Source organism: Homo sapiens, chromosome 8 (genome assembly GCF_000001405.40).
Source record: "Homo sapiens chromosome 8, GRCh38.p14 Primary Assembly".
In the NCBI taxonomy this organism is placed as follows: Eukaryota; Metazoa; Chordata; class Mammalia; order Primates; family Hominidae; genus Homo; species Homo sapiens.
Window position 1 is genome coordinate 34,484,362 of NC_000008.11, and position 13,578 is coordinate 34,497,939.

Consider the following 13,578-nt stretch of genomic DNA (forward strand, 5'->3'; position numbering starts at 1 on the left):
GGATGGAGTGCAGTGGCGCAATCCTGGCTCACTGCAACCTTTGCCTCCCAGGTTCAAGCAATCCTCATGCCTCAGCCTCCTGAGTAGCTGCGACTGTAGACATACACTACTACATCCAATTAATTTTGTATTTTTTGTAGTGACAGGGCTTCGCCTTGTTGACCAGGCTGGTCTTGAACTCCTGACCTCAAGTGGTCTGTCCATCTCAGCCTCCCAAAGTGCTGGGATTACAGGCGTGAGCCACCGCCCCCAGCCCCTCTGATGGCTTCCTAATGGTCTCAGAGTAAAAGTCCCTCTCTTCCACAAGGCCCTCCATGAACTGGCCTCTGGTATCCTTGTTGCCCTCATTTACTGTCAGGTCTTATTACCCTCCTATTCCAGGCTTGCTTCCAGTTTTGGGCTTCTGCATTGGCTTTTTTTTCTTTTTTATTCAGATTAGGATGATTTTCACTCACACATCTATTAATACATGATTAGCTCAGGTTTTGATTCAAAAGTCACCTTCCTAGTCAACTTTTCTCCCAACATTTTGTTTCGTTTTTTGTGTTCCTATCTTTCTTTTTATAATCTTCTCCTATAATATGTATTTCAAACTGTAGACCTTGTGTAGTATCTGGCAACTCAGTAGACTCATGACAAGAGTTTTTGTCTGTGGTGTCCACTCCTATACCCTAGAACCTAGAATAGAGTCTAGCACATTGTGAGTATTCAACAGCTAACTGTTGAATAAATAAATATACTTTCTGCCAGGCATGGTGACTCATGCCTGTAATCCCAGCACTTTGGGAGGCCCAGGTGGGTGGATCACTTGAGGGCAGGAGTTTGAGACCAACCTGGCCAACTTAGCGAAACCCCATCTCTACTAAAAATACAAAAGTTAGCCGGGTGTGGTGGCAGGTGCCTGTAATCCCAACTAATGGGAGGCCGAGGCATGAGGCTAAGGCATGAGAATTGCTTGAACCTGGAGGCAGAGATTACAGTGAGCTGAGATCCTGTCACTGCACTCCAGCCTGGGTAACAGAGCAAGACTCTGTCTCAAAAAAAATAAGAAATAAAAAATAAATGTACTTTCTACTATTTACCCTTTGCTCCAGAAAAAGATAGACATGCTGTTCGCAGATGCACATTGTACCTTTTGCATGTTAGGTTTGGGTCTTTTATTTTCTTATATCACTTGTATGTATTTCTTCCTGATTTTTTTTATGATTCTTTTCATTTCTTTCATTTTTTGGCAACCTAAACATACAGAGAACGCCTCAAGAAGCTTTGTGTATTTCCATTTCTTTAGTTGCCCCTCTCCCCACCTCATTATGATAATTAAGCTACTGAAGTTGTGTGGCCTAAAGAGATAAAGGGGGTAGTTAAGACCATGGCATTCCCATAGCCTTTCACATCCACAGCCCCACCCCCACCTCGATTTCTACCACAGCTATCTAATATACTTGGATTACACACACATGTGTGTGCACACACAAACACACACACACACACACATACAGATAGACAACTTTTCTCTGGCAAAATTATTGTTCTTAAAGATATTTTAAAAAACTGAATACATGACTTAAATGAGTCCCCAAATTTTCAGTTTCCAGTTTTCTTTTGAACCAAATTCCAGAGCCCATCTATGATTCTTTTTTCAACTTGATGATTTCCAAGTTATGATCCCTGTCTAGGTTTAAGTTTTCCAAATAAAATTATAGATAACAGAGCTGCAAAGATGCTTTTTGAATTCCTGTCCAGTATCGTCTTTTCACAGATGATAAAAATAGGTCCTAAGAAGGACTGATTTGTTCACATTCACACACTTAGTAGGAAATTCAAAAGATCAAAAATCAGGTATTGGTTTCAAGAAAAATGCACATTCTGTACTCTATTTTGCCAAATTAATCAGTATTTTCTTTTACCTAAAATTTTAGTATGAAATGTACATTCCTCAGTCCATTGAGAAGCAGAACTTAACTCAAGTTCAATCAAGGATTTACCAATATGCTGCTTTTTACAGGTTAAGGTTCCTAGCAGCTATTTTAATAGCAGAAGATTTCTATTTGTGTTTGGTCTAGCCGAGATGCTGGTTTTAAAGTCTGTATTACAGTGATATAGTGGTAAAGAGATAATAAGAAAGCAATGGAAAACAAAGTCTGTGAAGGTGAATTGTATAGGAGATGTGTGAGAAAAAATTAGTTACCTATCAAGCCCAGAAGAATCAAAATGATGTAGAATGGTCAGTAGGGTTCAAAAGAAAGATCATGGACTTTAGAAACATCCATGTGACTTAACTTCCTTCTCTGTCATCTACAGTGTGTGACCTTGGACAAGCTACTTAATATTTCTCAGCTTTGGTTTCTCATCAAACATTAAAATGGCAACAACGATAGCTGTATAGATTAAATTAGATAAATTATGTAAGGGACGCCACTTCAGAGTACTCTTTTAATAAATGGTGGGTATTGGTAATTGAGTAACACAACTAGACTAATAATATAACATTAGCAGAGAATATATTCCATTATTAATATGACTTCTAATGTCAGACACACAGACCGAATAATCTTACCTGGCTTTGCTATAAAAGGTTGCATCAGTTGTATCTTTATGATGAAACTCTAATGGCCCTGAGACTTCCCATACCGGTATATCTGCCTCTGCCAGTCTTAATGAGGAGATGCCTAGCACATAACATAGACCACATTTTTGTTTTCCTATCTTTAAGTTGAAATATATGTGGCATCTATCATTTAATATTCCTCGCTTGCAACCTTGTAAGGCTCTTCTGAGGATGCATGACTGTGTTTTATTTTATTTGTTTAGTTTAGGCAGAAGGAACAAAGCAGACAAGTCTACCCATGCCATCAGTTTTCTGAGCCAAAATCAAATGCCTCAGCAAGATTAATGTGATTTATATGCAGATTCCTGAAAGGAAGAGGGAAATGCTGACCTCCTGTTCCACTCACTGGAATCTCCCTGGACTCTGGAATAGGGAGTTTAAAATATTAATGCCTTGAATAATAAATTACAGTACATAGTAAATGAGGTACGAGCACAACAATTTTAATTAGTTTTAGGCACATTTTAATGATTGTTTGGCCATTAACTTCAGTAAACATAAAAATGCACAGGAAAAGATGTATGAGCTCCTTATTACTTAGCTTTGTTTTAACTGAAGGCTTTGCAAAGATGTATATCATTTTAATTTTGGTTCCAGAGGCTTTTATGTAAATTAATTGCATTGGAGAATTGGCAAGAACATTTTATTCAATTTGGAACAGCAGTGATTATAAGCTTCACATTAATATAACAACAATTTAACAATGGCTGATAGATGGGCCACAGCCATGCAATTATCAAAAGTGAGCCACTCTCTTGATCTCTAATTAGGTCTATAAGCAAATAGAGTTTTGCCGGCACTAATTGCCATATTAAAGCTGGCAGTGAGGTAGTAAGTGCTCTCATGTTAAGGTAGTCAGCACAGGGTGCTGTTTATCCAAAGATTTTTCCATTTTCTGATTTAATCAGATACGTAATTCAATTATGTATGTTGTTGAAATAGATATTTAAGTGAATTGGAAAGCATTCTCCCCCTTGATCTACACAACCATGCATCTTGTTAACTGCAGACATCAGTGTTTTAAGTCTAAAACATAAGTGGTAGGCTACACTTTTTTTTTTCTCACTGTCATTACTACCTGTTCAGATGTCTGTCCTGTCATACCTCTGACTCAGTACCTAGGATGTCTGGTGCTATGTGCCAGACAGATGTGTGCATGGAAGAAGATGTACAATGCCTTGATTTGTTGCTCCATTTTAGCAGGCATTAAAAAGCACTCAAAAGGGATTTGGAAGGCATTTGAGCACCAGGCTAGATATTGTGGGACCAATTTTAAAGAACCCAGAAAATCCCTTTATTCCTTTCAGTCTTTGTCTAAAATCTTGGTCCATTGTGCAGCAAAGGCTATTTGTTTTATTTTCTACTTCAGCTTATTCCAATGTGTACATCAATAACATTAAAAAAAGAGATTTTCATTTAGGGATCTGTGTGAGTTTAAACTAAATCTGGAAAAGGCAATTTTCTAGGGAAGAGCCTAAAAGAAAAAGTCAACCCAGGGAGATTGCTAAGAAAGTAGATTTTAAGTGTTCTCACCACAGAAAAAATGATAAGTATGTGAGGGAATGCATATGTTAATTATCTCAATTTAGCCGTTTTATGGTGTATTACATACATAAAAACATCATGTTTTACACTATAAATATATACAACTTTTATTTGTCAATTTTTAAAAAAAGACCCTATAATGGTAGTTTTCTAAAAGGAAACCAACTTTTTAAAAAAATATGACTCTAATTGAAAAGAACAAATTATCCTACCCCCATCCAAAATAGCAATTGAGAGACATGAGTGTCTTTGGTAAATAACTTCATAGAATCCTATCGAGGAATAATTCCAAATCTTTGATCAGGACTTTTATGTCCATGGTAGTGGTCATGAAGAGAAATAAGCCACAAAGACCCCATAGGGTAAAATTTGAAAGCAGAAGATGAATATTTGTGCAAGAGTATGTGAACTATTCAAACCATTGTATAGAGAGACATCTTGAAACATATGAGACAGTTAGAAAGACATATATTCTTTTTACTTTTATTGGTTTGTGCTTTACTGTCACTGATAATTACTATTTATTACAGGAAATTGTGCATGTTTGTATTTGTGTGTATTTGCATTTGATTTAACTGTTAGTCACAGGACAATTAAGAGTATGAATTTATGTGCCTATAACTCACACAGGGAGGGAGATCTCAAAGGAGGCTCAGACTCAGCATTTCTGGGTCACGCATAGAATAGCTGTGCTACTTAAGAAGGCAAAGTCCTCCTCTGAGCTATTCTTGAGGCTTGAGGTAACAATGACCAGCTGTGACGAAGCTGACAAAAGCATTATGTCCTCCTGTTCACTACCTTGACTTACTGGCCCAGGCCTATGGAACCCACTGCTACCCTCCAGATAGTGGATAGAGTTCCCAGAAGACAGGTATCAATTTACACAGTACAGATTAGAAGAATGAAATCATCCCAGAAAGAGAAAGGAACCCTGATATGGTTTGGCTCTGTGTACCCACCCAAATCTCATCTTGTAGCTCCCATAATTCCCATGTGTTGTGGGAGGGACCCAGTGGGAGATAATGGAATCATGGGGAGCAGATCTTTCCCCTGCTGTTCTCATGATAGTGAATGAGTCTCATGAGATCTGATGGTTTTAAAAACGGGAATTTCCCTGCGCAAGCTCTCTCTCTTTGCCTGCTGCCATCCATGTAAGACGTGACTTGCTCCCCCTTGCCTTCTGCCATGATTGTAAGTTCCCCAGCCATGTGGAACTGTAAGTCCACTAAACCTCTTTCTTGTCTAAATTGCCTAGTCTTGGGTATGTCTTTTTCAGCAGTGTGAAAATGGAATAATACAAACCCTAAGGTGAGGGAAATGAGGTTAAGAAGATGAGTGTCTCCAGAAGAATATCCCAGCAAGGGATCAGCTTCTTAGCTGCTTTTCCAGAATGATGGGTAAAGCAATAGCAGGCACACAGTTTCAATTTTTCTCCTTGGTTGCAGTTCACCCAAATTATCCCAGTCCTTGGGTGAAATCATTAATACCCATATATCCTTGTAGAATTGTGTTGTGGGGAATGAGAAACAGCAAAGAGAACTATGGCCTGTCCTAAACCTGAGGTCTGGCCCTCATGAAAACATGTCATCCTGTTGAGGGCCTGTGTCCAGAAAACCTCCCAGATGCTAACTGGCAGCAGAGTGATCAGCTAGCCATGCAGCTGAGAGAGGGAGAGGGGCAGCTTCTTGCAGAATCATTCTGGAGGGTCTGCTGGAGTCAGGTAAGCCTTGCAGGTAGTTGGGGAGAAGCAGGATGCTATGCTTCTCTCCAGGTTACGTAATTTCAGGACTTAAAAATAAACATTCAACATGGGCACGTGTGTGTGTGTGTGTAGCAGAAAGGGCACCTAATTTGGGGCAAGCATCATTCCAAGTGTTATATTTGGAATAGGTCCAAATTTGATTGCTTTTTGCAGAGTATTATTATTTTCTTGTGATTGATGCCTGTGACCAAGAAAAGACCAGTACTTGTAGCTTGGTGACAATTCAGGCAACTTGGTCTTTACGATAACTAAGAAAGCCCTCCCTTTGTATTTTAATATAAATTTAAAAATTATTAACTTCTTTTTTGACTTCTTATTGCATGCCAGAATCTTTGTCAAATATGCATATATGTCTGGATGTGTGTATATGTAATAATTAATTTAATTCTTACACTATCTCTAAAATGTTAGTATTATTATCTCTGTAAATAAAGAAACTGAGGTGAAAGGAGGGTAAATTGCTGTTCAAGAACTCAGGGCTGGCTGATCCCCCAAACCATGCATCTTTTTTTCTAGCAGGTTGCTTTCCTGTTACATATCTGGTGTAGCTTGAGGCATATTACATTTTTAAGAAAACTGTGCCTGCGACCATTTATAAATGCCAATATCTTATCCTCCTGTCAGCTAGCCACAGAGTTGTTCTTACCCACAGGTAAACAGAGCCATACAGTTGTGACCTATGGGGCACTAAAATGCTTGTTATTCCCTCAAACCTACCAGGAAGTCTAAAAATCTAATACTTTAAAAGTCTAATATTATAACATGATGTCTTAGGAAGGTATCATTATGGATTACTGGAAACAACACTGTCTCACAAAGGTCAGAATAGCCAGGTTCTTGGGCTTCAGGCTCCTCATTGATAAAAGAGTTTCTAGAACCAATAGTCTTCAAATTTCCCTCTTGTTACAAAGTTCAATATGTGTTTGATGTTATTTGTATTAAGATTTTGTGTCTTTTTGGAAAGATGACATATTAACCACAGATTACAAGGACTGATATCTGCATATTAATTTCTTACCATCACCTAACAAAGAGCAATCCCTTAAGCAAAATGGTAGAAGGGTACGTAATCACCGTGAGCTTATATTGTAGGAAAAGAGTGAAAGAGTAGTCAGTTGTTGTAGGAGGGTAGTTAAGACATCATAGAATGCAACTCTGTGCTTCTTAGAAAATGTGTGATATCTGTGGGTGTCAAGAAGATGAAATACAAAGCAGCAGAAAAATATATGCCTGAGCAACAGTCTCCACTCATAGGAAAGAGAGGTGGGCAGTACAGGTTGCCTTATTTAGAAAACTGTACCTTGAAGTGGTCCTGACTAGGAATGATGCTCAGGAAGCCTAACAATGGAGAGTTTCAGCTCAGAGTCTTGATTCCAGTTTGTATTTAATTCTGCCTTGCTTGATGTCTGCTTTTTTATAAGTCCTTCACCTATGGGCCAGTAGTAACTTGCACAGCCAGAAATTCCTGATGCTGAGAACCAGCCAAGAAGTCAAGAAGCCACTGAAAGTTGGACTCTTGGCTTCATGCCTCCTGCTCTAGTCTTATGTTAGTACCTGAGAGGTCTAGCAAGGTCTCCATCCCCAAATCCTATTGCCAACTTACTTGGCAAGAGACATGCATCACTGGATTAAGGCTAAATGGTCATCTTTTTCATTTTAATGTTCTTGCCCTTAATTAATAGTTTAGTCTTTCAGGCCTTCATTTGTTACACTTAAATGAATTTTGTAATTAGCTTTGCATCTCAGGTTTGTTTCTCCATTTAAGTCTAGAAAAGCAGCCAATTAGTTCTATTTTCCCATTCTGTCTCACTTTTTTAGAACAATTTCCCAATGTCTAATTGCTTAAGTACAACTAATATAATCCAACGAGATCATAAACTGGGCACTGCTTAGTGCCCACGAAGTACTTAGTGCCTCACTAAGTAAGCTGGCACTTGGTTAAAAGATTATTGAATTTATCAAGCATTTGGCCCAGTACAGCTCCTAACAAATGCATTTTGAGGATATGACAGTCCTGGTGAGTGAGTTAAGACTCATTATTTGGGTTGCTACTGCCCTTGCATGAAAACTGTGATTGTTGTCAAGTCCATTAGCTGCTTTACAAAACAAGAGCTGTCATTTCATTAAGCTGCCTTACACATATCAACAGCTCCAGGGTGAATTCTGGTCACTTCTTGTCTATGTCACAATTCTTTCTGAAAGCTGACTTCCCCTGGTGTGTGCCGGCAGCCTACAAGTCTTCATTGTATAAGGAGATTCCATGAATCTAACAGAAGAAGAAGCAACTGGTTTAAAAATCACTGAAAGGCCAAGGCGGGCAGATTACGTGAGGTCAGGAGTTCAAGACCAGCCTGGCCAACATGGTGAAACCCTGTCTCTACTAAAAATACAAAAAATGAGCTGGGTGTGGTGGCACGCCTGTAGTCCCAGCTACTCGGGAGCCTGAGGTAGGAGAATCGCTTGAACCCAGGAGGCAGAGGTTGCAGTAAGCCGAGATCATGTCACTGCATTCCAGCCTGGACAACAGAGCAAGGCTCCATCACAAAACAAACAAACAAACAAAAAAAATCATAGAAAGTTTGATTTTAAAAATTTTGCCTTCTTAGTCAAGTATCAATTAGTAAAGAAAGAACAAAAAAATTGAAATTAGAGCATTACGTGATAAACTCAGTTCACTTTTTGGTTAAGAGTAGAGCAGGCAGTGTATTTCAGAAATCTACTTTGCAATCCAGTGTTCTTTCTGAGAAATCACACACTGTCCCTCTGATGGCCTTCATGTCTTAATTTCTTTAGATCTTCATTTACTTAATAAATATATACCGAGTCCTTCTTTTATGCCAGGTATTATTTCAGAGCTGGAGTTATGTCAGTGAACAAGACTGAGTTCCTGCCTTCACAGAACTTAAGTTCTAGCTAGATAGACCAATCAATATAAAGTATGATATTACATGATGTTAAGTAAAATAAACCAGGGTAATGGGGATAGAGTATAATGAAGTGCCCTTTAAGATAAGGGGTTAGAAAAGGCCTCTTTGAGGCTGCCTTGTGAGGGCAGTGCTTTAGCTGAACTGAGGGTAAACAACAAGCCACGCAGAGAGGAAAATTGCAAAGACCCCGAGGAAAAAATAAATTCTGTATGTTTGTGTTCACGAATTAGCAATGAGGCCAGTGTGTTCGGAACAGTGAAGGTTGCTTAGAATAGTAGGAGATAAGTGCATATTTATAGATAATGATTATTTCTGCTTCCTCTATGAGTAGAATTGCAATTCCACTGAATGCAGAAAGAGAACATTTATCCTATTAAGAAGACTGATAAGTGGCTTCATAATCTGGAAATATTAAATTTTCTCAATGATAAAAGACCAATTCAAACCCACATGACTACTGAGGCCAATATTGTCTTTTAATTTCAACCTAAATTGGCTGAGCGCCAACTGTGTGTGAGGCTCTGGAAGACACACAGTGAAGCAGAAACTAACATTCTTTCTTTACAAATGAGTGCCCAAAAAGTAAAAAAAAAAAAAATAGAACAAGTAGGAGAAAACATTAAAAAGACAGAATATGAGGTATCATCGAAGATGTCAAAAGTGCTGAGATGTTCAGTGGGAGGATGGAATGTAGCTTGCTGAAAGATGCAGACAGGTGTGATAAAGAAAGGTGCCATACCGACTGGGAGTAAATGAAGAGCAAGACATTGACCCGTAAGAGACAGGTTACCTGGGAACTGTTACAAGCTGAGGAAATAGTATTAGTAAAGGCAGGAATGTGGGTAAGAGAGATACTTGTCTTGGAACAGAGTCCAACTAGTTGGAACATAGGATAAGGGAATATGGTCGATAAAGTCAACAAATTAATGCAGAGCTTTAATACTTTAATTAGGAACTTGACCCTAATTAATTAGGCACTACAGAGCTATTAAAGGTTTTGCATCAGAGAGGCAATGATGACAAAGAGAATGAGTTACATTCCCTTTGTCCTTTATGCAGTTATCATTGAGGAATTTAGGCATATTGGTGCTTTTCTAACTTTTTTAAACTTTGAAACTTTCTTGCCCATTGAAATATTTCAAAAAGACTCAAATCTATAGACAGGTAAAAATAGAATTTATTTGTTTTGAAATAGGATACAAATTCCTGACTTCTTAACCCCTTTCTTTACATCTCAAGATGTCCCAAAGGCATTTTCAAGGAAACTTAGAACTATGAGAAAAACAGTTTGAAAACCATTGAACCAAAGCATCTTGAATCTACTTTCATTTTCTAACCACTTTTTAGGAGAGATTAACTTTCATTTGGTAAAATGTTGCATTAACTTTTCCTTCTCTTAAAAGGTATTTCTTTCAAAAATCAATGCGTTGTCAGCACACACACAACTTATACCCCATCCACTGTAATATCTGAGATTGGATCATGAAGCTCACAGCTACCTAGATAACCGAGGCCAAGTAGAAGATTCAAGTCAATCAGATTAATAGCTTATAAGAGGCTTCAGAACCTTAGGATAATATAATTTGAATTTTAAAAGTGGTTTCCCTGGCTCTAAAAAAACTTAAGGAAGTGTCAGCCAAGAGTTAATACGATCCATTCTTTTTAAAAGGTTATTTTCCCAGGAGGGGCTCACTTCTGTTTTTACAAACATGAATCTTCTGAGTACCTGAAAATGGAAGTGAGGATGAGGTCAGTAGAGATCTTATTTTGGTAGATGAGCCCATCAAAAAGAGCAGAAATGAATTTAGACTCACCTACTTCTCCACTATACACATCTTAACATAGAGCCTGGGTGTGAATTAACAGCAAAACATTTATTTGTGCATCAATCTGTTCAAATTTGTCGCTCTGGTTCAAAAAGAGAGAAAATTGAAGAATTTCTGCATTCTCACAAATGTTATTCTCTTCATTTTTCACAGTTGCTTCTGTACACTCTTCAACTGTGCTGACTTCCCCCAGAGAATTCAGACACCTCTCTAAAAAGATGCCTGTTGTGGGAGTCGGAGGGTTGCAGTGAGCTGCGATCACGCCACTGCACTCCAGCCTGGTAACAAAGCGAGACTCCATCTCAAACAAACAAACAAACAAAAAATGCCTGTTTTGGGAGTCGGAGGGTTGCAGTGAGCTGCGATCACGCCACTGCACTCCAGCCTGGTAACAAAGCGAGACTCCATCTCAAAAAAAAAAAAAAAAAATGCCTGTAGTGGTTGCTATCAATTCTGGGTGCCTGGCAGAACACCCCTTTACATACCAGCCTCCCCTGTGGAGTTGGTGTAAGATTGAAGAAGTACGATGAGAAGATGGCATAACTTCATGCTTGTGGAGCAACGGTGGGCTTCGATCTGCTCTGTCTCATTCTAACAATTATTTCTGCACATGAACACATGTCCTCTCCAGTGGGCTCTGCAGTTTGCTCTTCAAAACTTATTCTACCAGCCTCCAATTCTGAAGCAGAGAAATGGCTTGAAGAATAAATCTTAGGCTGAATCTTTATTGGCCTTTGTCTTTCCCATATCAAGAATGGTCCAATGAGTCCCAAAAGGGCAGACTTTGTGGTTTGTGTAGCTTTGACATGTTTATTCCAGGGCTCAACTTACACCTGACTTGAAGATTTATTTTTCTTTCTTTCCAAAAGCGAGGATGGCTGTTTAAATGAAAATGAGGTAGCCCAAGGAAGAAGATGTAAGTTAGAGACTGTGTTTTGCTTTGCCAGGACAGTAAAATATTAACAGATAAAATCAGGAATTCTAGGCTCAGGGCCAGGCATAATTACTTACTAATTCCATAATATTTTAGATAGCTTAAGTTTCTTGAACATCTACTGCTTTCTCAGTGAATTGGGAAAGAAAATAGTTTCTGCCTCACAGGATTATAGTGTACCTTATATGATTAAGCTGTTCTGAACCCACTTGGAAAAGTCTAAAATTTAAACAGCTAAGTAAAAACACATTTAAACATGGGAAATGTGTGGTGGTATCATTTTGAAACACCTTTCAACAAGACACCAGAGATTTAAATAGAATTGCCCATGCATCCACTTTTCTCACATCGAATTGGGAAAGGGGCCAGAAGAGAGGAGTATGTGAATGAAGTTGAACAAAATTAATGGATTCTCAATGAGCAGATCCAGATCTTATCAGTGTTTGCCACAGAAGCAGGAAACTGGCAGCACTTGTGTTATGGATGAAGCAAAACAGGGTGGAGAGGAAGAGGACATTGCCACTTGTTGATCCATGGAAAAGATCAGAAGATTAACCAAAAGCTACACTAGTGGTATTTGAACTGCTCTTGACTGACCCTTCTTAGAAACCTCCATGACATGTGGACATATGGCAGAAAGAAAGGGTGCAGAGATGTGGAGGATAAACCAGCAGAGCTCTGAGATCCTCCAGTGGGTAGCTCTACTTATCAATTTTACATATTAAGCTTCCAGTTTTGTTTGAAAAAATGGTAAACAATCCCCAAAGAAAAGCTCTCTATTCTTCAATGTCTGCCTAAATGACACCATTGACAACTATATCACCGCATCTTGGGAAAATTCCTTACATCTAGGGAATAGCCAAAGCTATTAGGGAATTTTCATTATATTGAAAGGACATCTCTTTTTTGTACATATTGATCTTATTTCCATCATTCAGGCATGACACCTGTATTAGTCCGTTTTCATACTGCTATAAAGAACTGCCTGAGACTGGGTAATTTATAAAGGAAAGATGTTTAATTGACTGGCAATTCAGCATGGCTGGGGAGGCCTCAGGAAACTTACAATCATGGTGGAAGGTGAAGGGGAAGCAAGTCACCTTCTTCACAGGGTGGCAGGAAGAAGTGCCAAATGAGAAGGGGAAGAGCCCTTAATAAAACCATCAGATCTCCTGAGAACTCACTCACTATCATGAGAACAGCATGGGGAAAACCCCCTCCATGATTCAATTACCTCCAACGGGTCTCTCCCTTGACACATGGGGATTATGGGGATTACAATTCAAGATGAGATTTGGGTGGTGACACAAAATCTAACCATCTAACACCTACAGAAATCATCTATTCCCTCTTTTCCATGATGGGTTTTCAACTATTTGAAGTCTGTTAACTTGCTGTTTCTGCATTTCTTCTTAATGCTAGGATTCCAGTAACCCCTTTTCAGATGACATTGTTTTGAATCTCCTCACGGCTCTGCTTTCTCTACTATAAAAGTTCCTGAGTTTGTGTACATGCCTATGCAGTGCACTTATTTTAAAACAAATTGATTGATATTGCCTATCTAAAATGAGACAAGCTAGAATATTGAATGCCTTGATTTGGGTGGACATTGGCAAACATTTGAAATCCAGAAATCTATTGCAATCAGTCTCTTTTTATGTTCTATGATTTACCACCCTCATTGTCTCAAATTCCAGTAAATTTTTGTAAGGATTAATATCCTTACTGACAATTCTGAAAAAAATTCAGTGCCTCTGCTTTCATGGTCACCAGGAGCCCTGAGCATCTATTAACTCTAAATTTTAATTGCATGATGATTGTCCTAATGTCCTTTGTTGCCTGTGCTTTCCTTCTAATATCTTATTAGCCCTGATGTGAACTTAGCACCTTTTCTATTCTTTCATCACACTTCTACATCAGAACACATTCACATAAAATGTTTTGTTTGTATCAGACTTTATGATTTTAGCAGATGG